At 43.7% G+C, this 25382-nt stretch overlaps 1 protein-coding gene across 5 annotated transcripts, besides 2 other annotated features; it reads left to right on the forward strand.

The window, feature by feature from the left end:
- Positions 1-1558: 1558 nt before the first annotated feature.
- Positions 1559-24573, forward strand: LHX9 (LIM homeobox 9). Of its 5 annotated transcripts, none has more exons than NM_001014434.2 (6): positions 1559-1654; positions 6974-7092; positions 9067-9269; positions 10399-10754; positions 16686-16888; positions 18097-24573. In NM_001014434.2, the coding sequence occupies exons 1-6, from the start codon at positions 1627-1629 to the stop codon at positions 18352-18354; spliced, it is 1167 nt and encodes a 388-aa protein (NP_001014434.1). In that variant the 5' UTR covers positions 1559-1626; the 3' UTR covers positions 18355-24573. The 5 variants fall into 5 exon arrangements, with proteins under 5 accessions (NP_001014434.1, XP_011508083.2, NP_001397856.1 ...); XM_011509781.3 differs by lacking the exon at positions 1559-1654 and adding an exon at positions 5169-5846; NM_001410927.1 differs by lacking the exon at positions 1559-1654 and adding an exon at positions 5169-5846 and having other exon boundaries at positions 21014-21683.
- Positions 7038-7764: an enhancer, noted in NCBI's record as "H3K4me1 hESC enhancer chr1:197887073-197887799 (GRCh37/hg19 assembly coordinates)". NCBI's record gives its function as "activates a minimal SCP1, AML or CMV promoter by ChIP-STARR-seq in naive H9 embryonic stem cells {active_cell/tissue: H9 hESC(naive)}" and the evidence as "EXISTENCE:reporter gene assay evidence [ECO:0000049][PMID:30033119]".
- Positions 10570-11092: an enhancer, noted in NCBI's record as "H3K4me1 hESC enhancer chr1:197890605-197891127 (GRCh37/hg19 assembly coordinates)". NCBI's record gives its function as "activates a minimal SCP1, AML or CMV promoter by ChIP-STARR-seq in primed H9 embryonic stem cells {active_cell/tissue: H9 hESC(primed)}" and the evidence as "EXISTENCE:reporter gene assay evidence [ECO:0000049][PMID:30033119]".
- Positions 24574-25382: the final 809 nt, after the last annotated feature.

Here is a 25382-nt window from a genome sequence, read left to right on the forward strand (position 1 = left end):
CTTACCGACCCTAAACTGTATGGCGGAGCTTGTGGGTCAGGCGTGGAGGCGGCATCCACTCCCACGTGCCCCACATGCAGCAGCAATCCCACGCGGTTTTCGCAAGCGGCTGGGAGGCAAGCGGGCGTCCCCCCACACCCCCCCCCCACTGCGCCCTGGACCCACGCCACGCACCGCCAAGGAGTAGCTATGGTGGCACGTGGAGGAGGGGCGGGTAGGCAGGGCGGCACCATCACCGGGACCAGCATCTTGGAACGGTCAATCTCACTGCTCATACTCTCCTCCCTACCGGCGCGGGAGCCTTGCTGTAATCCCCTGCCACCCCATCTCCGACTGTGAGGGGCGCACCGGGTGGGGGAATGGGTAAATAACTGGCCCAAGGCCCAGCTTCCAGGTCCTCCCTCCACTTTCCCGCGGCCTGACTGCGCCCCGGGCAACACAGCCCCTTGGGAACCTGCGACCAGGTAATGTGGCCTCCGCCCCGTCCCGGGTCTGGCTGCATCCCCTCTAACCCCTGCCTGCCCGGGTCCAAGTGAGGGTTTTCTCCCGGAAGGTTAATCACCACCCCCATCCCCTAGCCGGGTCCCGGGAGGAAGAGATGCCCCGGCTCTCTCGTTGACCCGGCCTCGAACGCCGACCTCGAGCGCAGAATACTCCCGAGTGCTGGGTTCCTGATACCCAGCCCGGGAGCGAGGGGAGTGAAGGAGGGACCGGGACAGGAAGGCGGGGACGCGGTGGGTGAACAATCAATGGCTTAGCCTAGTTTCCCCGCAGGAGCTACCGCCCATTCACCGTCTATGCAAGCACCAGCTGGCGGCAGCATCTTTTAGGTACAAGCTGCAGGGAGGCAAAAGCTGGCTGGGGGGCCGGGAGCCCAGGGCACGCCGCGGGACTCCAGTCCCCCTGCTGCGCCCCAGCCTCAAGACGCTCTGGGCTTTATGAGGTTCAGTTACCGCCGAGTCCTCCATTAACACCTCCTCTGATTATTGAGAGGCTGGAAGGGCTGAACGCAACCTCAGAGCGTTTCTCTGGGCACCGGCCCGCGTCTGTGCCCTCTGCCCACCCCTTCCTCCTCCCCCTCCCGATTTGGAAGCATAAACAGAAAATAAAAGACAGGTGGAGAGAGCTAAGGGTCAGAGGTGAGGGAAACAGATCAACTCCAACGGGGTGGGGGAGAGAGAGAAGGGAGAAATTAATTTTCATCCAATGCTTTATTTATTTATTTGGATTAACAGGGGGACCCTCAGCGAGACGCAGGGACTGGCCCGCACCTCTGGCCGCCGCCTCCCGCCGAGAACCGAGTTCTAGTTGGGGAAACGTCTGACATCTGGACATCAAGGTAAGACCCTGATGGAGATATTTTAGTCGGAGCAGTTTTCTGCCCTCGGAGTGCGCCCGGACGCCCGGGAGTTTCAGGGACTTCTTGGGAGCCTACCGGAGGAAGGCCCGGCTTTGCTCCAAGCCGCGTCCCTACCTGAGGTCTCCACGGGAGGAGCGGTTTGGACGCGCCCCACCGGATGGGAGGAGGTGCTTGGGGAAGCCGGGCCGTACCGCCGGTCTGACTCCCGGCTTTTCTCTGCCAGTGCAACCACCATTACGGCGTGATCCACTCCTTTTCCTCTAAGAATGCTGAACGGTACCACTCTAGAGGCAGGTGAGTTATGTGCCAGGTTCCTTCTGATGTTCTCTGCCCCTTGGGCCAGTGCGTATACCATGTGAGTGTGTGTGCGTGTGTGTGCGCCTTCGTTGGGTGGAACGAAGAGGAGTGTGTGTTTGTCTTAAAAATTAAACCGCGCTTCGTAGGCTCAAAAATACACATTCTCTTTCAGAGTCTCCTGATAGGACTCCTGAAACCCTCCTTTTGCCTTTCTCTTTGACTGTCTTTGACTTTCCTCAGGATCAGTGTCCGGGGCGCCAGGCAGAGGTCCTGGTTCCACTGATCCTCCAGTAGTCAGTGGCTCCAGGGACGCGCTCCTGACCCTCCGGGGAGCTGCTGGGGGTGTCTCTTTCTTGGAAGGGATGGAAGGGGGGCCGAGAAGACACTGTTTCTCACACGTGTAGGGGTTAACTGGAAACTGGCTTCACCCACATTTTTTTGTTGTTGTTCAGTCCTAACCCAGCGCAGCCGTTTCTGCGCCTGATCTCAGCGGACGCAGTGCGGGACTTCTCCCTTTATTTCTGCAGAGCTGAGGGCAGGCGGCGCAACAAATCTCAGGTAAAAGAGCATCAGATTTCAGAAGAGCTGTATTCTAGACTTGGCGCAGGCCCCTTTGGGGAGAAGAGCCCAGGGGCTATAGAGAACAGAGGTTTGAAGGAAGCAAAAGCTGGCGAGAGGTTTTTTTTTTGTCGCGAAGGGTGAGGGTAGGCAGAGAACGCGCGAAAGGGCAGGGCCTTGGCCGGGAAGTACCGCCCAGCGAAAGGCTGGCAAGGGTGCGCAGCTGGAGCGTGGCCTCGGGTACCCCTTTCCAGGCAGCCGAACTCCCCGTATCCCAGCTCTGCTTGGCTGACTCCCATTTGTCTTGAGGGAGGATCCCCTAGTAGGACTGAATCAGAAGTGCGCCCGTGCAGCAGCCCCAGTATGGATCTGCCAACCTCAGTGTAGGGGGAAATTTTCCACATGGAGTATCTCAGTCTCCACTGTCTGGAGAAAGGCCCCAGCGTGTCCCGGCAATCCGCTCACCTTCCATCCAGCGCAGCCCGGGCATCCAGGGCCAGGTGGCGCGGCACTGAACGCATGGTTCCCAGCCTCAGGCTGACGCTGACGTTTCACTGGGCCTTGGGTGCTCAGGACAGTGCCAGACGCTGGATACTGTTTTAAGAGCCGCGCCTTTCAAACCGAAGGGGCTCCTTAACCAGCTTAACAGGGTCTGGAGGAAAGGTAACGCCTCCTTCTTAAAGGGCAAACTTAGAGGCGCAGAATCATGGCCTCCAAAATTCAGGTAGAGAGAGACCTTAAGTCACCTTTGCTCTCAAAATATGCACATTTGTTGGGTTACTTCTTCCCTCTCAACCCTAACTGTTCTGTGGGTTTAATTTCCCTTTCCTCCCCCCTAGGGAATTCTACTGGGCTCGGGTTCTTTGCCCATGTAGACCCACCTGAGCCGGCGACAAGGGCGCTGCAGTCTTTTTGACCTTCATAGAGATTCTAAGATCCCGAACTCTCAGTTCCAACTATTATGCTCCACTATAGTCCGGCCGTCCACTTTCCTAAAAGCGGCAACAGTAGCGGGATGGGTGCTGTCAGAATAGAAAGGAAAGAAAGCTTAGTGGACTGCGTGTGCTCAATTGTGAGGGAGAGCAGTGCTGGTCAAGGGACCTGCCCCATTATACCTGGTAGAACTTTGAATTTAGAGGAGACTTAAGATCTTATCCCCGACGCAGGCTAGAGAGAACCACATGCACCTGTCCCTCAGCTCAGGAACTGAAAAAATGAACACTGTAATTTTTATGGAACACTTGCGGGCCATTCAGACTACAGCTGGGAGAAGGGGGAACATTTTTTTTTTTGTCCCCAGCCACCGGGCCTCAGCCCCTCTGCTGGAGAGGTGAAAGAAAGCAGAGGTACAAAGATGCTTTCCTTATTTAAAGTGCTTATTTAAAGTCCTTTGAGAATGAGGAGCGGGGAGCTCTTAGGCAATCTTTCTTGGGGGCTCCAAGACAAAAAGAGTAGAAAACCCAGGGTCACACACCCAATTCGAGGGCATTCCTTCCCACCCTTCCTGGGCTTCCTCCTTAGGAACTGTGAGAGAAGGCAGGGCTGGACCCATGGGGACGTATTTCCGCAGAGCTAACAAGGACCTCCCAAACTCCAGCTGACCCCCACCCCACCCCCAGCTTTCTCCAGACTTCCTGCGTTCACTGAGAAGGAAGAATCCTGGCAGTTTGCTTCTTTACAGGAAGTAGCAAATGCCACTGGATGCAGGAACTTATAACCTGAGTTTTATAAGAGCAGGAATAGCTAGGATTCAACTTGGAAACTGATTGCAGAAGGTGTTCTGCCTTGCCTGTACCTAGATGATTAACAAACTTGTGTGGAATAGAAGAATGAATGGATGATTGGAGGGCTTACAAAACCTCTGTGTTTGGCTTCCCTGGAGACGCTGTAAAGTTCTGGCTTTTTCCTGGAGTTGTTTAACTTTCCCTGCATGCAGTCTCCAAAGTTTTATCTCTTGCAAGGAAGCAGTGGTATTCTTGGGTTCTTCATTGTTGATTTTGCTGAGCAGGGGCAATATGCAACAAGAACCAAACCTAATTTCAAACACCCCCATTTGGGGGTTGGGAGAGGTTTTAGCACAGAAACTAGACAAAGTAGGTTGAAGTCCTGTATTTACTTTTTGCTTGGAGCTTCCTTGGGTGAATTGACTGAGGGGACTTCTCAGAGACTCCTCCTCCTCCTCCTCTTTCTCCCTCTCCTCCTCCAGCTCTGAGCCAGTTTAGCCTCTGACTTGTGTGAAGGCAATCTGCCCTTTTGTGAGAGGACCTGCTGTCTCTGAAAGGACTGCTGCCCCCAGCCCCTCCTCAGGGCCCTTCTTGTGTGCACGTGGGTTTGAAAAGCTCATTGATTCCCATCCAAAGGGGCTAATTACATTACTTACAGTAAATAGCAGCCCTGCTGTCAGGTATAGCTGCCAAAGTAAGGAGGAGGGGGATGTCTCCAGCTTAGTTCACTTGATTGGCTTCATTTTTGTGTGAAATTGCGTTTTATGAGCTGCATTTTGGCACCCGGAGGACTTAAACTGCGTCCAGTCTGCAAATAACATTATTTTTGACCCTGAGAAAAAAGGAGGGGAAGCAGTAGTGTCTTCAGTTTCATGGAAGAGGTCACTCCAGGAGCCTCAGAAGACAACGCTTTGGGACAGGAAGTCAGGCTGCTGCACCAGGGGTCGTTTCCTCTCTCGCTTTATTTCTGCCTTCCTTCCTTCCCCTTCTTCTCATCCTCTCACTTCTTTTTTTCTTTCCTTCTTCCCTCTCTCCCTCTCTCCCTGGCTTTTCTCCCGTCATCTTTCTAGCTTTGGCCACAGTTCCCGGTCGGGCTCCCCCGGGCGGAGGGAAGCGGGTCTGCGGCCGGGCGGCTCTTGTGAGGTATCTAGGATGTGCCAGGACACAGGCACCGCAGTCCTGGGAAAGGCGGCGGGAAGTAGTGGGGAACGCAGGCTGACGAAGGGGACGGAAGGAACAGAGAGCGGCCGGCGCGTCCTCCTCTCTGGGTAAAGCCGCGTTGGTTCCTGCCGCAGCGCTGTGCTTCGGACTCCTAGGGGGCCTCTGGCCGTTTGAATGAATCGACAATATCAGAGTATTGTGGACACTTTTTAATGGGGCCGGGGAGGGGCCGCCGCTGCCGAGAACTGAGGGCGACAGAACAATCCCACCTCTTGTGAGGAGCAGGTCTGCCATTCTGCTTGTCAGTTCTCACCTTCCCCTCCTCCACGGCAAAGAGTCCCTTTCACACCCTTCTGAGTGTGCGGGTGCGCCCAGTTTTACAAGTCCTCTGTCCTGCCAGGGTAGTGGGAGAAGCACGCGATGGGGCTAGCGCCCAGTCCTGCGGGGGCAGGCGCCAAGCTCCCGGGAGTCCGCAAGTCGCTTCCTATATTGGCAAGCTTCAAATGAGACATTAGAATCTCCGGCAACCTTCCTTCAAACCTGAACCGGGGAAGAGAATAAGCCGCCCTATGGCCAAGGCGCAATTGCGTACCCGTGTGTACAGGTCCATGCCCTGTCCCCTACACTCTAATTTTCTCAAAGAAAATTGTTTTGCCAAAAGTAACCCTGAGAAATGCAGACGCTCCAAACGCCCTCTCCACTTCGGATGAAGCCAGCATCTAGTAGGGTCTCCGGCCCTCAAGAAGGTGAGGCAAAGAGATGAATTGTCAGACAGCTGCTTTTAAAAGTGGATTGAGGAAGATGGGATGGGGAGGAGAGGAACCAGCATTATCTCCACCTCAGTAAATTGCTTACATTTCTGCTCAATATTTATGCATTTCGGGTGACAGTCCTGCAGGCTGGGGATGAAAAAGTCCACAAGGAGGAAATCCAAAGTTTGAAGTTGATATTCTCTGTGTCCTGAGCCAAGGTCTGATCTTGAACTCGGATCAAATAGGCGGGTTCTAGGCCTTCTGCAACAGGGCGGGGACAACAAGAGCTCCTTTTCCCCTTTAAAACATGACTGCTGGGAACTCTTGGAAGGATGTGTGTGTGTGTGTGTGTGTGTGTGCGCGCGCGCGCGCGTGTGTGTGTTTTGTGGGGAGGTAAATGCCCCCTCCTCCTGCCTCCCCGCTCTCTATCCCCCCACCCCTTTGTAATGTTTGTCCTGCTTGCCCATCACCAGGGGGTTGAGAGGAGTATGACAGGTCTTTGTTGTCTGAATAAAAATCCGTGGCAGCTCCGGGGAGAGAACTCCTCCTACTAAATTATCAAAAATGGGCTGGCTTTAGTCTCTTAACAAATTGGACACAGCTCAGGCAGGAGCAGTCCCCAACCCAATCTACAGGCACTGGGAACTTGCAAGCAGCCAGGGAACGCTGAAAATAGCACGTCTTTTTCTTTCTTTGTGTTCAAAACTATTTTCTTTCTTCACCAGATTTTGTTTTCCTCCCCCCGCTGCAGTTGTTTCCCATTAGTAACTCGATCTCTCAGAGCAGTAAGATTCGCCTTCTACGCCTCTTTTTCCCTCCGCCCGAATTGTTTGTTTTCTGCACATCTCCTTCAGGGAGCCGCTGAGGCTTCCCCCCAACTCTTCCCAGTTCTTTTTGCTTCCCCTCGGCCCCCCAAGCAGACCGATTTCCACTCCATCTGTTTCTTCTCCTCCTTTCTCTCCCTCTTTCCCTCCATCCTCGAGCGTCTCTGCGCTCCTACAGGGCAGCCCTCTCTGGTCCCTTGCCTCCTTCACTCGGATGAGCTGAAAGCCCCGGGCGTGTGTATATGGAAATAGTGGGGTGCCGAGCAGAAGACAACTCGTGTCCTTTCCGCCCCCCAGCCATGCTCTTTCACGGGATCTCCGGAGGCCACATCCAAGGCATCATGGAGGAGATGGAGCGCAGATCCAAGACTGAGGCCCGTCTGGCCAAAGGCGCCCAGCTCAACGGCCGCGACGCGGTAAGGAAGGGCTCCGCCGCGGCGGTAGCCGGGCACCCCTGCGCCCTCTGTTAAACCAAGCCGACTCCCTGGCCGGTGGAGAACCGGAGCGGCGGGTCGTAGAGACGTCCGCTTGAGGGTGGCGGGTGAGTTTTCTCCCGTCCACCTATGCCTACAGGGCTAAGAAACGGTCGTTTTTCTGAATCGAAATGTCTGCAGCTGGCTATCCTCCGTCGCAGCTGATTCCGAAAGAGCAGGGAGAGGAACTGGGAGGAGGTGGGATGGGGGGTGGTGGCATTCTCTTCTACAGACCTCAAGGTTCCCTTGATTCCGGGGCAGGCGTCTCCCCGGCGAGGATCCGCAGCTCCGAGGGCAAGCTGGGCATAAGCAATAGGAGGACGGCGCGCTGCCGAGGCGTCCGAGCCAAGCAGGAGCCCAGGTGGCCTTAGTCTCTGGGCCTGATGACCGGACCTGTGGAGTAGATTCCGACGCGACTGGGTCATTTCCAGTTCTCTAGACGCTCGGGGCTTGGGACCCCTAACCGAGAGAATCTCAGGGTTTCTGGCATCCCGACTCAGTCCCTCTAAGGAGACAGCACTACGTTTAGCGCCAGGACCCGGCGGGTGTCATGTGTAGGGGGAAATCAAATAAAACATACGGAGGAGCGCGGCACCCAGTCGAAACGCATGAACTTTATAACCAACCCTTAAACAAGCTAATCAACCACCACTGTTTCTACTATCCATAATAATAAAGTCATGTCCTCTTAATAAAGAAAACTAATTACTTATCTAAGCGCTTCCCTTTCCAGATTACTAACGGGGGGGGGGGGGGACTACAGAAGTCTCCGGAAATTATTTCGGCCAAACATAGCTGTGTAGATCCTTTGGTACCACAGTAGGACTTGTAGCCCAAACTAATCAGGAGACTGCTCTAGCCCTTATCAGCTGGGTTTTGGGTCCGGCCAAGTAGCCCAACTGGTGAACGTGTCTATATTTGTAACACTCATTCAGTGCCGGGGCCCCTGGTCGGAGTAAAGGGCTAAACTTTACTTTTTCAGGCCCGCTGAAGTTTCGTGGGGAAGATCAACCCATTTCTGCTAGTCGTGAGGGAAATGTCCGGAGGTTAACTCCTTTTCCCTTTTTCTGGTCATCACTTTTAAAAACAAATAGTAGCAACCCAAACCCAAATTTTGCAGCGGGGCTGGGCTCCTCAAGGTGGGGCCACTGGGGCATCCCGAGTCGGGTCAGTGGGACCCAGAGGGAAGCATAACTTGGGCACTAAACAGATTTTCAAGACAAAGGTCTCAGTACGCCTGTTGATGCTAGGGAAAGAGGGGACTGTATACAGCGGGCTGGACAGCGGACCCTCTTTGGGAACAGCCACTTTACACATTTATTGGGAACGGCACCAATAGCCCTGAAAATTAGGGAACAGCAGGGGCTGCCAAATATATCTCAATCAAAACAAAGTCGACCAAATTATGAGCAGAGGTCCAATAATCTCCCCTTTGCTTTTGATTTCAATGCTGCTTATAAGAATTTAGAGAAATCGAACTGTAATATTTTTTGTTTAAAAATAACCTGTGCTCGTTGAAATTTCCTTTTCACTCCCTTATCATTTCCGTTGTTTTATTTTGTGTGCGTCGAAAACCACAATTTTTAGCTTGTAATTATTTGAATTCGGAAACGATCACCAAACTGTAGTCAATATTTTCCTAGTCCTTTTTAAGCGAGGCTCCGGATGGCTGGGATGTCTTTAGGTTAGTAGTCCCGGGAGGACGCGAACGCCGGTTCAGGCAGACACGGAAGAAAGCAAGCGGGCCGCAAAGAGAGAAATCACAAATGTTTCCCCTGACTTTTGCCTTTGTGCAGTGGACCCTGGCCCCTGCCGCTCTCCCTGCACACCCTGGGCTTGGTCTGCCTGGGGGAGAACCCCGCGTCGTGCGGCTACACCGCGCGCCCTCCTCAGCCTTGCGGTGTGCTTTCTTTGCAGGGCATGCCCCCGCTCAGCCCGGAGAAGCCCGCCCTGTGCGCCGGCTGCGGGGGCAAGATCTCGGACAGGTACTATCTGCTGGCTGTGGACAAACAGTGGCATCTGAGATGCCTGAAGTGCTGTGAATGTAAGCTGGCCCTCGAGTCCGAGCTCACCTGCTTTGCCAAGGACGGTAGCATTTACTGCAAGGAGGATTACTACAGGTACTCCCCTACACCCCCACTTCCTACGCCCGAGTACACCTGGAGGGGCCATCTGCCTGAGCCCGGAATCCCCTCTCCGTCCCCTACCTTTTGCCCCATTCCGGGTGCTGTTATCATTTCGGAGACCAGGCAAACCCACTGCATATGCCTTCAAGCTGTAATCTCCCTGACCGACGGTGAGGGTGGGTGGGAGGGACATTAAAAATCTAGAGCTTTATCAGCGAATACCACGCACTCCCATCACTTCTCAGCTTGGCTGGCGGAACTTGGGGAAATCTGGGGAAGAGTAAATGGACGTGGTCTCCGTCTACCGAGACTTGATTGGGTGTTTGTTTTCCGCTTGCTACGAATTGGGCAAGTTCTGCGCCTTGAAACTGAACTAGTGGCTCGGGCAGCAGCAACAGAGTGTTAGGTTTTCGTAGGTGGCAGGAGACTCTGTAAATGACTATGAAAAGGAATAAATGCCATTGCCAAAACCCAAGCCACTCAGTTCCGGGTTCCTTTTATCGCTAGTTACAACCATGCCCCCCAGATTGGAGAAAATCAGCAGCAGGCGTCTTTATTGATTCTTCTCAGTTATGTTTCTGGATTGGGAAAGACAGGACTAAGTGCAGGTGACCTAGTTCCGCTCTCAGCCCAAGCAAGATAAGTTGTTAAAAAAATAATAACCTTTCCTTTACAAAATCGTCATCTTCCAGGACTGTGTCCGCATGCTTTCCCACACCCGCGCACATCCAGGAATAATTATATCTTCTTTCATTCATATGTTTTGTAATTGATTAAGTGTTTTCACTTGGCATGGCAATTTAATATTCTAGTACCGTGAGTTAGCTAGTGCTAACTAGTGGTTTGCTTTTTTAAATTTTTTTTAATGTTTTAAATTTTCACTTTGCAGAGAAGAAAACTAAGGCTTAGTTGCCCGATTCTTCTGACTTTAATGTAAAGATCCTTTGTCTTGGTTTATCAGAAAAGGTCGATGAGCAAATAAAATTAATGCCTACTCTCCTGTCCCCCTGGAACCCTCCCAGGTCCCAGTCTCAGGCCACTGCAGACCAAACCCAGGTGTCGCGGGTGGGATATGGCTCTGCCTTGCTTCAACTAGCGCCCTGACTCAACTCTTTCCTTCCAGAAGGTTCTCTGTGCAGAGATGTGCCCGCTGCCACCTTGGCATTTCCGCCTCGGAGATGGTCATGCGCGCCCGAGACTCTGTCTACCACCTGAGCTGCTTCACCTGCTCCACTTGCAACAAGACTCTGACCACGGGCGACCATTTCGGCATGAAGGACAGCCTGGTGTACTGCCGCGCCCACTTCGAGACCCTCTTGCAAGGAGAGTATCCACCGCAGCTGAGCTACACGGAGCTGGCGGCCAAGAGCGGCGGCCTGGCCCTGCCTTACTTCAACGGTACGGGCACCGTGCAGAAAGGGCGGCCCCGGAAGCGGAAGAGCCCAGCGCTGGGAGTGGACATCGTCAATTACAACTCAGGTGTGCCTCCTATCCTCACCCCCGGCGCAGCCCCGGCCTCCCTGAGGAAAATTCGTAGAGCTCCTTCCCCGTCCAAAGTCTTGCTGCAAGAGTGTGTTTTGCCCAATGCCTCTGTTCTCACTGCAACTCCCTCTCACTCTGAAGGAAGGGAGAGAGGGAGGAGGAGGGGGGAAGGGAGGGAGAGGCAGCACTTTATTTAGGTTGTGGCAAAAAACACATTCATAACTATGGGGCTGTAGTGACTTTCCCCAAACAGGCAGAGCCAAATCCTTGTTGCCCATTAGTTAATGAGCCCATTAGTTTCTGGCTCTCAGTTGGAGCAAAACAGCCCCAGGGCAATTTCTTTGTGGAGGCCAAATTATAGATCCTGTAGGAGGTTTCCTAAATACTGAAGAAAAAAAAAAAAGTCTACAGAGCCCAACCCTAGTCTGTCTAGAGGGGTCAGAGGCTGTGGTCACCAGCCCAAAGTTAATCAGGAACACAGTTGGCAAGAGTGTTGAAAAACCTAATCCCTGATCTTGGCAAAAAGCAGTTGTAGGGGTGGGAATCACTCTCCACAGCTGAGCTAGCCTGTGTCTTTCCTAAGCCAGGATATTCAACCAGCCGTCTCATTCCCGGTGTGATAGACCATCCAGACATCCAGACCCCTGGAACTGAAAGTACCTCCAGGTCAGGCCTCCTGAAGAGGCTTAGTGGTATCTCAGGCCATTCATCTATACTCAACCACCTTCTCTCTTCATTAAAAACAACATGCAGACAACAAGTCAAGAACACATTCTTCCTTGCTTTGGGGGACACGCCTATCATGTATCAATCTCTCACATGCAGCAGTTTCCCATTGTTGGTAGCCTGCCCCCACTCCCCATCCTCCAGGTGAGGATGGTGATCGGCTCTGCAGATGATAATCTAACTCTGAGCAGAACAGAAGCTATTCTTGTGAGTCCCAATCACTGGAAAAAAAGAGGTTGTAGAAAGCCCTGGCGCACTTTTGGGGAGCCTAAGGACCTTAACTGCTTTGGCTTTCAGTGCCCTGGCCCACATGTGGCTGAGAATCTCAGCAGACTCAGGACAGGGGAGACCATTCTGTTGGAAGGAACCTTGAGGACCTTATTATGGCAACCCCACTCTATTACTATGAATGCCCCCAGATACCAAGCATGGGCATCTCAGAGCATGGGATCTTGCCTGTTTTTCTCTTCCAGTTCCCAGGGCCTGGTATGGTGCCTGACATTGCTAGTCAATGGTAAAGAACAGTGTCCAGCCAGTTAAGTGATTTGCCCAAGATCACACAGCCAGTGTGAATGTGAAGCTAAGAGTCCTGCTCTGAGTTTAGAGTTTTCAGGGGAACCCACACAGGATGAGTGGCCGCTCTCTCAGACCTCCGTTGGGCTCTCTCCTGGGGTTCTCTACCGACTGATCTAACTGAAGAGGAGAATCCTTTATGGGCAAGCACAGCGGGTGGCCTTGCAGGGAGAATGGGGAGCAATGAGGAACACTGTGCGGCAGCACTTGTCCCTAGGGGGTTCATACCAGGGCTGCTGGACGAAAAGAAAAGGACCTGCCGGCTCACTGCAAATCTCACCAGGGTCGGTCAATCTGTGTGAGGGCAGCGGGCGAAGCCCCGGGTTTTGGCAACCCTCAGTAGTGGCCATGCCCTCACACTGGCCCCTGCTGTGCTGGGGCAGGAGATTTGGTTAGGGGCCACTTTGCCCAGCATGCTTACTTCATCTTCTTTGATGCGTGGTCCCCGGGGCAGGGCAGGCAGGGCACTAATTGTTCTTTATTAATAGAAGGTGACATTGGAATCTCAAGCCACTCACCAAGGCCCTAATTCCCAGAGAGAGAGAGAGAGAGAGAGAGAGAAAGCAAGCCACTCATACATAAACTAGTGAGTTTTTTTTTGAAAGAAAGGATCTCTCAGCCCGGATAAAGTCCAGAAGGGTGAAGATTTCTAGCCAAATAGTAGGCAAGCCTGACTTTTTGATTGTTTATTTAATCTAATTTGCTAAATTTGATTTCGCCTTGGATCTTCATGTTAGATCCAAGGAGCTTTAAGAACAGTAGAATTTAGATTCTTTTACTTCTCTGAAAATAACTAGAGAGTACAAATTTATTTTTAAGAAGAATAAAAGAATCCTTCTGAGCCACTTAGGTCTTTAGTTTGCAGATTAATGCTGCTACAAGTTGTTGTGGAGAAGGTCGCTTTTGTCTTGGTCCCAAAGGAGGGAAAAATTGCTTAGGCCCCCTTAGCCCGAAGAGTTTGTACCTCGCACCACTACAAACTGGATGCCTCTTAGTTAACATCTACTCCATCCTTTCTGGACTTTTCCCAGAGATACTATTCAATAGTATATATATTTTAAAGATCAGGTTAAAATTATCTATGGGAATTGGTTTGAAGATGCCTGACCAGAAATCAGGCCATCATTTAAAACAGTGCTTGCGAATCTGATGCCACTTTGTTCCAAAACTAGGGAAAGAAACCCTTCAGCAAATTAAACACGCGTTAAAATGTAAAAAAATAAAATAAATCCAGTTTTAACTCGTTATTTTAGCCTTCTTTGGATTTTGTCTTGCTATCTTTCATTAAATGTAAACATTAAATGTAAACAAGTCTCATAAAGGGTAAGGTTGATACTAAACTAAGTATAATTTACACAATATGTTTTCAAAATGTGCAGAAAACATGTTTGTGATTCAAAGAATCTCAGAGAAGATGTGAAACTTGGCAAAGGCCAGCTAGTGCTTGATAGGGCAAATGCCTTTTAATGAGAATGTCCCTAGTTTTGTTTATACCTCTGTGCAAATTAATCAGGCAAATATTTTAGAAAGAGACATGGAAAGTTTACCTGAAATGCTAGCTTGAAATAAAGCCCTCTAGGGATGAGAAGAAGATTTAGTTTAGGATAGGAAGCTCTTATTTGTGTAATTTAAACATTAATTGAGAGATTAAACTTTTGCCACTTCTCAAAATATCCTTTCCTTAAGCCCTTTCTTCCTATCCAAACTTTTAAGGCTCCTGGTGGTTAAATTAGCCTGGCACTGACCCCTAGTGGTCTTCCAGGGATCACTTCATTCTCAGAAGGTTACATACCTTCACAGCGACACTCACTTTAGGATGGGTGCCCATCGCATAAGTGACTGGAAATAAAATACTTAGATCTTCTCATTAACTTATAATACTGGATGTGAACTGACAGGTAGATATTTAAGACAGTTTTAAGAGTTATCATTTCATCTCATAATTCGGGGAGTGGGGGAATCCCCTACAGCTTTAGCAATAGGCCTTGGAGAAACAGTCATTTGCAAGTTTATATAATGCATGTGTAGTTAAACATAAATAATATCAGATAATGCACTGTTACTCTGTAGAAGAAATAGCTTTCTCTATTAAGTTGCATAATATGAGATAACAGTCACAGGAAAATCATATATAGTAATATCTGTTTAATAAAGACCCAACGAGCTATCTCCTTACATATTGGATTGTGTATTTTATGTGGAAACAGGGCCTATAACTGTATTTTACACACTAAAAGGCTCTGCTGAGTTTTTAATCAGCAATAATGGATATAGAATGCGTTTTAAGGGAAGCCATTTCATTAAATCTTACTACAATTATTTTTCATAAATTTCATTTTAAGAACTAATGATTATATAGTCAGGTTGGGAATCATATTCATTTCTATATATTACCTTGGTGTGGAGTGGGGGAAAGATGGCCAAGGGCATTATTTAAACACCAAGTCCTCTGTCCCAAGTGTGAAATTCAATTTGATGTATTGTTCAGGAAAGGTTACATGTTACATATGATAGGAAAGAAATCTGAGTTGAAGAACCCTCCGATGACTAACATGTGCCCCTTTGACTATTTTTTGTGGGTATATTTATAATCTGGTTATGAAATATGGCTGAGTTTACTGGAGATAAGTATAGTTTTATAGTAGGTCATAGAGATGCTGTTTCATCCATTTGAGGATATGAAAGTGCAATTCTGTAGAATATTTGAACTTGACATATCCCCACTGGGCCAAAATAGGATAAAATGTAATGCATACTCTTTCTGTTATCTCTGGACATATGGTAGCCTTTCTGGTGGAGTTTAGGAAGCCTATGTTTTACATTCGAATGTATATATCTGACTTGGATTCCACTTCAAGTTGATTTAATTTCGCATTAATACTCACTTGTAATTTACTGATGAACAAAGGGCCCAACATCTTGATTGAATGCTTCTTGAGCTCCTACCCCTGTGTTTGACTCAGGGAATCAATTCAAAGTTGAATATGGTATAGTCAGTTCCCTCAATGAACTCACCTGTTCTTTTGCCAAGTGTGTCCTCCTACTTATGCGTCTTATGGAAATACAAACAAAGGAGACATTTGTTTGTGTCTAGTCTTTTTACATTAGGAAGAATTTCTTGTTAAGTGAGTTTTATATGTGGCTGCCTTCTTGGGTGATGACTACAAAACTTCTGTATTTCTGTAAATATGCTGATTTGCTGAATATTTTTTAAAAAGTAATTCTAAACAGAGCCTAGCAGGCAGATAACATTGTATTAAGCAGAACATTTTATTAAGCAGATTGGAAGAGCTCACATTAAGGGATGCCTCCCTTTTTTAAGATTCAGGTTTCTTTCTCCCTGGAATGACATGATCAGGTTGGTTTTAGATTTTCTATTATAAAGCAGTACAAGGCAGGATGATCAGATCTAAATTTATATAACTATCTGAAGGAAGAATTTAAAGAAAAAAAATTACCATGCTCTTTAATTTGTGAAGTTGGCTGAAGTTGGTTGTGTAAATATTTCACAAAATGTTTTCATTTTACAATTGTATTTCCTATGCAGAGCCAGTAGATTCTTGGAAATGACCCTTTAAAAGTGTAGCTTTACATCCTGGGGATAATGACTTTCTGGCTGGTTTCAAAGACTGGGTTGTTTTGCCCTTGGTGCTAAGAAAGTCTTTGTAAGGGAAGAGAAAATGCCGCCCTCTCTCTGCCAGGCCAGCCAGGGGCACAGCTCACATCCCACTCACACACATCTGGAGCAAAAGGGACTAAGATCTGAGCCTAGAAATAAGCACCATCAGTATCTCTCAACTGTGAGCTGTGGGGAGCGCTTCAGGCGTGAACCGTGTGAAGGGAAGTCTGGGCTCATTCTCTTTCAGAAATATTTATTAAAATCACTCCAGGGGAAAAATATTTTCTTTCTGGTATAGCCCTGTGTTAACCAGTCATAGCTAAAAGCTGAAACAAATAATATTCTTATGTTTACATAAGAAATTCACAAATTTTGAATTTCTAACTTCTCCTCCTTTTTCAGCCTTTTCTAACTTTTTCCTGACTGACGGAGCTCTAGGAATATGAGAAAAGGCTAACCCTTAGAATTGACCTAGATGCTTCCTTAGTTGGTGGGCTCTCAGAAACTTTCAGACTTGAGGGAGTAGTAATACTTGTTTCTCTACGTCTCATGACAAAAAGCAATACCTTCAGACAGTGTGTCTCATTCCAGAAATATAGACAAAAGGTAGAGTCTTAAAACACTGTGAGTGTGGGCAGTGGGGAGCTGGTACAAATAACTATATTAGAAAAGGGTTTCTTCTTCTCACTCTCGTAGGTCTCTCTCACTCCCACCTTACTACTTAGGGTTTGTTCATATTCTCAAATTCTTCTAGCAACCATTAAACAAAAGAGAGGATTTAACCAATATTTTTCTATTGCATAAACTTTGGTTGTGTCTACATTAACAGAAGAGTTCAGCTTACTTTAGCAATTATCTTCTTTCTTTTTGTCTAGATACTACTCATAATTGGGTTGACAACCTTTTTCACTGCTGCTTTATTACCATAGCAGTGTCATACAGCCTGCCATCATGTCAGCTAATGCAAGAATTTCCACTGAGCAGTTGTTTGTTCACTGTTACTGCAACAGGTTGTAATGAGAATGAGGCAGACCACTTGGACCGGGACCAGCAGCCTTATCCACCCTCGCAGAAGACCAAGCGCATGCGAACCTCTTTCAAGCATCACCAGCTCCGGACCATGAAATCCTACTTTGCCATCAACCACAACCCGGATGCCAAGGACCTCAAGCAGCTTGCCCAGAAAACAGGTCTGACCAAAAGAGTTTTGCAGGTAAGACACATGCATCATTGACTGTGCATACATTTCCCTTCCCCTTCCCAGTAAAAATAGTGCTCTTCCCTGGTTAGAGTGACGCAGATATTTCCTATATTGCTTCTTACTAGTTTATCTTAGCTATCTCCCTAGAGGGTGTTCTGAGATTTTGCAGGGGCTTCCTGGAGGGTTCCCAAACAGAGACCCAGGGTCTTTTTAAATACAGCCACATTCTCTCTACATATGTGGAGATGGGCCCTCCAAAGGCAGCACAGCTTGTCTCACTGCTGTGCAAATGCGAGTGATGTTATTTGCACAGGCCGTGGCTTTATCGATTTCCATTAATATTATGCTCAGTGCACGGACTTGAGAGGGACCTGTTGGCACTGCCTTAACTCGGCAAACTTTTGGCAGCCTCACTCACCTTCCAAATTCAGGTGGAACCTTTTTTCCACTCCTGAAAAGCCAAAAGTATGGTTAGTGTTTCAGCAACCAATTGGAGCAAGTATTTTCCTGCCTTAACAAACCATAATTAGAAACAAAATATTGGAAGTTAGTTCTGCTGTCCAATTGATTTCCTAAACTCATCATGGCAAGAACATATAACTAATGAAATTATGATAGGTTGCTGTGAGTCACCTGTGATCTTCTCTCACTTCTTGGTGACAAATAGCAGGCATTTTAAATTCTGCTAAACAGTTTCAGGCTGTTCGAGGTCTGTGGCCCTGGGAGTTTTTTCTATGTGAAGAATATATACCGTGTGTTGGGCTCACGAATGGCTTGAAGTCTGTTTCAGTGATGTCCATTTCATATGAGTGATTCTTACTTTGCCATACTTTCAATGGCCCTGCTTCTACCTCTTCTCAAAAGATAACAGTTGAGGAATCACCGTGTATTTCCCCCTTTTTATCACCATGTGTTCATTTCCATGGTATATCCACTTAAGCATCAGTTGTTCCAAGTGGCACTTGTTAATGCTACAGGGTGGAATAAGTGCAGTTGAGAGATAATAAATCTGTAGTGTTACTTGAATAACTCTGTTTTAAAAGAAAAGAAAAAAAAGCCCCTTTCCTCCTAAGAAAGACAAACAATGATATTTAAAAGGAGAAACCTATATCAAAAAAAAAAAAGAAAGAAAGAAAAAGAAAAAAAGAAAAAGTGAGAGAGAAAGAAAAGAAATATAAAAATGAACATCGGTAAAGAAATCAATTGGGATTGGTTTGCAGGTTTGGTTCCAAAACGCACGAGCCAAATTCAGAAGGAACCTTTTGCGGCAGGAGAATGGGGGTGTTGATAAAGCTGACGGCACGTCGCTTCCGGCCCCGCCCTCAGCAGACAGCGGAGCTCTCACTCCACCCGGCACTGCGACCACTTTAACAGACCTGACCAATCCCACTATCACTGTAGTGACATCCGTGACCTCTAACATGGACAGCCACGAATCCGGAAGCCCCTCACAAACTACCTTAACAAACCTTTTCTAACATTGGTTTTTTTTTTTTAGTTTTTAAATTCTTCCTCTTCTTTTTATTATTATTCTAATTATTATTATTTTATTATTTACAAGACTTTTTTTTTCTTCTAACCCACAAGATATTTGGGGAATAAAAATAACAGCTTGGTGTGTAGCATCTGCAGCCACTTGGCAAATGAGTTTACAGTATTGTCTCCTTTAAGTGAATATATTTTGTCTACAAAGTGTATTTGGATTTAAAAAAATTAATTAGGTCTTTCAGTTGGTAAGGAGAGTTTTTGAATAATTCTAATAAGTGCCTCTTAAAATTGTATGTTACTTATTTCCAGAATCTCGAAGAAAAAAGAAAAAAGAGTGGTATTATTATGGGCAAATAATCATATTCCCACTTAAATGATTAGGTTAATAAAGAACCAGATAATTAATTAGTTACTTTTTAAATCTTGCAATTGTATGTGTGATTATGGAGTTTTGAAAACGTTACATTTTTTAAATCTTAAAACTGAAAACTTGTTTTTAGTATTTCTATTTCTTACCTGAACTGTTAATTCAAGTGAGGAATATGATGAAATAAAAGCATTAACTACAGACATTTTAAATAGTAATGATTAATTAGGTGAGAAATCTATTACAGGAATGTGACTTTTCCTTCTCTTAGGGGTGTACAACTCTAAAAACTTTTTACTTGGTTATTTGTTTTTCAACATTTGAAAAATACTTAAGCTCCCTATGTATCCATGAAAATTCCGCATTGATTTTGACATTCCATACTTTTAACCTCCTAAAGCTAAAAACAATAGCTCGGAAACCATTCTTTCTAGTTACTTTTTTTCCCAGGGAAAATGGAAATAAGCAAAATATAATGTTTTAAGAAGTAAAAAAATCAATATAATTTAATTAATAGCTCTATTAATTGGCTTCAGCTGTACCATGATATTGTATCTGGCATTCTATATGAATAATGTTTAAAATACCCAGCCTGGTAGACTTATACCAACAATTGGTTTTGTTTTGTTTTATTTTATTTTGACATAGGTTGACTTATGTATTGAAAATAATTTTTCTGATATTAGAGATTTGAAGTTATTAGTCTTAAAGTAGATAAACTCAGAAGCCTTGTGGATGCTGATCTGAATATATTTCCTAGTTTACAGTAGCATTTTTTTCTTTTAATTTAAGCTAAAATCTTAATGGTCTGGGCAGTGGTGAATGTTCATCTATTACGCTTCTGTTGTAGTTAAATACCAATTAGATTGTGGATTTCCTAAAAAAATAAAAAAGAAGTCAAGATATATGTCTTGCTTTAGTGGATTGTTAAGAATAACTTTGCACATATTTTCCACTTTTTGGACCCCTTAAATCTCCTTTGGTGGTCGAAGTGGCTATTTAATAGATTTTAAAGGTGTCCTTCTGGCTGTATAAATGTGTGGTTACATATTGACAGTTCACTGCCCACATTAAAGTGCATTATTGTAACTTTTGCTCAGGGTCTTTAGAAAATTAGCACAGAAAGTAGCTTATTTTTTAAAAAAAGATGATGGAAGATAAGTTAACACTGTAACAGAAGAAAGGTGTGATTGCCATTATATATTTAGCAAGTATGGTTATCATCTTATATGGAGCTTAAATCTTGACTTTTCATACTTCTATTACATTTTGGGCATTTACCACTAACCAGACCAAACAACCTTGGTAAGGCTGAGATCTTATTAATACACTTTTACAGGTAAAATATTGACACTTATAAATTTTGTTCTTTGACAGAACAATATATGGTACTATATAGATCTACTTTATTAAGTAGACTAATTATAACTCAGTTCTCCTATGTGCCTTATGATATAACTTGGAAGTAAGTTTGTGAAAAATCAGGATATATGTGTTGTTTGTTAAATTAACTGTTTTAAGCCCTTTTAACACCTCACTAGTTTTGTACTGTTTTACCTCTTATTTCTGAAACTCTTTTTATGGTGTATCCTGTTAGAGGGGACAAACATGTCATAGAAAGCAGTTGTGCACTCTTTCAAATATAGTTGATAAATTCAATAATCTTATATATTGAGCTTCGTGTTTATAGTACAGTAAGTGGTCTAGCAAAATTGTCCATGTTTCTTTGTTTATTGATAAATGCATTGTATAGAAACTATTTCCCCTAAATATTTATGGACCAAACAATTGTGATATATCCTATTAAATTTGTGTGAATAAAACATTTTGAATCTAAGGAGTTTTCTTTCCCATCAGTTTTATTTAAGTTTTAACCGTACTAGTGTGTTCCAGCATCTATATGTAAAAGCTTTTCAAATGGTAATACAACATTGTTAGAAATATTTAAACATACAAATAGTTTTTAGACTTCCAAACTTCTGATTCATATGAAATGTTACACATTGTTGCACAGGCAGTGTAATTCAACCTAGAAATACCTTTGAATATATTTGCTTATAACAAAAGTAATGCCCCACTGATTTGACTCAGTCCAATTTTTAGAATAAAAAGGCTAATTAGCATATAAAGTAATTGCATGGAACGAAACCTTAAATATGATTAAGATTTCATGTTAGGTCTATTGAGCACAAATGGATATTTGTAAATCTAAATAGAAATTGCAGACCCCTAAAAGCCAAGTTGCTCTGTAGTTAATAAATTGTCACTATGATTTTTTTCAGGGAGAACAAATCTTGGGGCATTACAGCCAAACATCCCGACGTTTGAAAATTCCCTAAAGTATTAAAAGAAGGGGAAAAGTTTGATCGGAAATCCACTGCAGTGAAGACAAAGACACTATTAGGTTATGATAATCATACATTAAAAAATTTATTAAGCCAAAAAAAAAGAGAGAGAGAGAGACTTAAATGTCATTTACTGAATGTTAACGAAACTTGTGTTCTTTATGGTGTCTAACACAACTGAAGGCCTAAAATTATGTGGTTTAAACAAAATTAGATAAACCATGTACAAAACCAGAGCAACCTGGCAGTAATATGCCCACCCCATATTTGAAAAAAATTATTATTGAAAAAAATTTCACACATTTGTCAAGCACAGTTGTAAAATAAAGTCCAAAACATTCATTTCACCTGCTTGCTAATGTGTATTAGTCCTGTTAATGGCATTTTCCAACTGTAAATTCAAAGAAAAGCTATCACCCATTTAAGAGTATAGGGATCAAACCCCAGTAATTTTAGCATTATTGTTTATCACTTCCTTTTTAAACAGAAATCTCTGCATGCACTTTTACATATGTCACCTCTAGTGTACACCTCTGTATGATGACTTATCTTTGCTGTTTCTTGTATGATAAATAGCTTTCATTAATAAACATTTATTTGATGCAAACATAGTTAACTTTATGTTAAACACATGCTGTTGAAATTAATTTTGAACACTTAAAGAGGCAGCACAGTACATTTACAACTTGTTATACTAATGAAAAAATACAAACAGCATAGTGAGATTAAATTCTGGTAATCTAGGATAAAATTACTTACTTGGTTTTTACCTTTTCATGACTTATTTTCATTTGTTGTATTCAATTGCCACATGTATTAAAAATAAAAAACAAAGTGAACCCAAATTACAACAAAATAAACCTTAGAATAAACTATTGTGTAAAATTTCAGCAACTTTTTTAGATTACTAGGGTAAAATTTATAGATCCTATGTGAGTTTACATGTTTGCTATGCAATGAACAAATTTATTGATGTATACAAATATATTCTGAACTATAAAAAGATCCAATCTTTGCATAGTTCAATTACATATGATTATTACAAACAAAAAAGCAAATGGAAAGACAGACAAATATTTAGGAATGAGGTTTTTTTTAATTGTTAAAGGGAATATTTGAAGAATAAAATTTTAGCTATTCCTATTTAGCCGTATATCCAAAGCATATGTTAAACAAACTAACATATACTTTCCAGAAAATTTTTCATTATGATGAAATTTTTATTATATACAAATGAACCCTATGTAAATGATGTAACTTTTATGAATGACAGACATTAAATATTTCACTTACATGTATTCTCAGAATTTTGAATGTTTTCTTAAATGCTTTCACTTCCTGAATAATAAAAAGAAAAAATTTTAAAGAAGAGAGAGCAACTTACTAATAAAAAAAAGCAATGCACCATGACAAGTAGACTATTTTGAGTGATCACAAATCATGCTGGTTTTGTCAGTAACTTGAATGTTTATGCCTCATTGAAACCTCATCCACAGCTATAGCAACTTAAATAGATTTTCCAATGCATTTCCAGCCAGTTTATTCAAATCTTTGCCCTACAGTCTTGCCTTCTTTCCCTGTTCTGTCACCTGTGGCAATTTCATTTAGAAGTATTTTGGAACTTCGCCTGGTTTTACAGACCTTTAAATATTTGTCTGGTATGTGAAATGCAGGAAGAGACCAGAGAGGGAAAGAACATAACTGAAATTAGACATCTGAAAAAAAAATACAAATTTGAAACAGGCACATTTTTTAAAACCAAAAAAAAAAAAAAAAAGAGAGAGAGAGAGAAAGGAGTACTAATTATGTGAGTGGGAAGAGGAAGCGTGTGATGCAGAGCTGGAAGGTCTGTTGTGCTTTACTGTGATGTAAAGCAGTCTTTGAGTCTGGGCAACTGCACATTTACTGTTTGGTGTGGAATAGAAAAATGTGGACCTCTTAGTTGAGAGCAGGACACTAAATTTTCATAGCTTCTACCTCCCAGTTGCCTGGGTTAGTCTAACTTCTGGCAGATTGATCTTGGGCAAAAAGCTTCACTGAGAGTTAGTGTCTGTGTGCTTTGGTTGAATAGCCACCTTAATACTGACTTACATAGTGGGTAGGTTTTTGATACCTCAAATAAGGATAAAACTCCATAATAAAGGACCCAAAGCAAATACTTTTAAAACTTAGGTGATTTTTCATCACCTAAAACATAAATAGCTTTATTTAGCAAAATCCCAGTGGAATCTACCACACATTCTTTTATAATAACCCTTTTTTGGGAGTCAAAGTATTGTTTTTTTATTAGCCACATATAAATATCATCTCATTTTCTGTTGCAGTGTGACTGCAAGGCATGTTGTGGTGGAAATCATTAGAACTGGGAAGCTCTGGAATGGAAATTTGGAATCGTGTCATTCTAGGCTCTTAAAGAGAATATTAGGGATAATACTGTTGTAAAAAATAAATATAAACACCTAATTTTGTATGAAGTTTTGCTATTTAAATTTTAACTATGTTATAAACAAAGCTAGCTTTACTTGTAGAGAGTTCGTGTACTCTTGAGCTCATTCAATAGCTTTTACATTTTGTAGTCTCTTCCACAACAGGGCAAAATAAGCACAGTAGGACTTAGTCCAAATTGACGAAATATCATTGAATTTTCTTTGAAAGCATATATATAGATAAACTCTGGATTGGTCTTTTAGATCTGTTTTCTGTTTTTAGTAATTGGGAACAAACTCTTGATATTAAAATAAATAAAATGCCTCTAATGTAAAGCCACAGCCCTGCTTCTAGCCAATGTCAAAAATAGGAAGTTTTTTTAATGGTTTACTGTTGATTTTAAACATTTTAATAATAGTGCTCTGCCCTCACAACAGTTTTTTTTTCAGAATAATATTATGATTTACCTTATTTTAAAAATAAATTATAATTCTAACTTAAAATATTATTTTAAATGCCCCTCTGGGAAGATTTCCGTTTTATTTTATGAGGTTCCCTGGCAGTTGGGGGGGTGGTGAGGTTGGGAGAGGGAAAGTTTAGAACTGTGCATGATACTCAAGGAAAAGTCTATGAATATGATGTAAGTAGTAACATTATTGCCACAACTAAATTTCTGTTTAACTGTGTTGCAGAATATGATAATGTCATCTAACATCACTCCCTACTTGCAACATTCCTCTGTGAATATTAATATAGTTAACCCTCCCTTATTATGTATCATATCAATAAGTTTCTCTTCCCTTGGATTAATTTTTGCTTCTTTGCATTACATTTTATCTTGTGCTAAGATAACAAAAAGCAAGCAAGAATAAAGATCCAGATATTAGCCATATGTAGAAAGTTCCTGGTGTGCATTTCTGTGTACTTTTCCCTCACATATTAGAATTGTCAGGAAAGTTTTTTTCTTTTGGAACTTTCTGTTTACATTTTGCATGATCTTATAAATTAACCTGAAGAGTAATTGGATACCTTTTATGGTTATTTGAAAATAAAATTTGCTACAAATAAGATGCTTCAGTCTCTGTTGCCTCATATTATGCCTGAATATATTATGTTTTTCTGTACTTTCATATCAAATCAGAAAATATTAACCTTAGAGGATATTTAAACTGTTATTTATGACAAATATACAAAGATGAAGAAATTCAAAGGTGAAATTGCCTTTACTTATTCTCATTCTGCTTCTTTTCCTTTTCCAAAGCAGCAAAAATTATGAAGGGCTATCAGCTTTAACTTCAACATTCAAGGGTTTTGACAGCTTGCATCACTTAAAGTATATTTATTATTCAGTAAACTTTAATTCTGTAGAATAAATGCCCTTTATGAAGTGTGATTTTTGAAAGCACAAAGGCATTTCAGGATTTCAAGCAGTCAAAGCTGCTTGAATTCTGCAAACAGAGTAGTTTTTCAGAAGAAAAATATAATGGAAAGTAATTGTAAATATAATATTTGTAACATTTTACCTGATTGGTCCAAATACTGCACATGAAGTTTAAAGAGTTATAAAAGCCTCCAAAATGTTAGGATGTAATTATGTGATGATTATTTTTGTAACATAAATTGAGGCAGTTTATTTTATAAATACAATTACCTAGTTACTTTATTGAGTACAGATTCTGAGGTCTCCTTCTGGATATATTTTTTCTTTTATTATTATTATTATTATTTTTTGAGATGGAGTCTTGCTCTGTCACCAGGCTGGAGTGCAATGGTGCCATCTCGGTTCACTGCAACCTCCGCTTCCCGGGTTCAAGTGATTCTCCTGCCTCAGCCTCCCGAGTAGCTGAGACTACAGGTGTGCGCCACAATGTCCAGCTAA

This window comes from Homo sapiens, chromosome 1, assembly GCF_000001405.40.
Source record: "Homo sapiens chromosome 1, GRCh38.p14 Primary Assembly".
Classification (NCBI taxonomy): Eukaryota; Metazoa; Chordata; class Mammalia; order Primates; family Hominidae; genus Homo; species Homo sapiens.

What these genes read in the sequence shown, in the direction of transcription:
- LHX9 (XM_011509781.3), top strand. Translation starts at nt 5,774, where the DNA reads ATGCAGACGCTCCAAACGCCCTCTCCACTTCGGATGAAGCCAGCATCT. An exon ending in GGTCTCCGGCCCTCAAGAAG is followed by an intron (nt 5,847 to 6,973) that starts GTGAGGCAAAGA and finishes TCCGCCCCCCAG; the next exon opens with CCATGCTCTTTCACGGGATC. An exon ending in CATCGTCAATTACAACTCAG is followed by an intron (nt 10,755 to 16,685) that starts GTGTGCCTCCTA and finishes TTACTGCAACAG; the next exon opens with GTTGTAATGAGAATGAGGCA.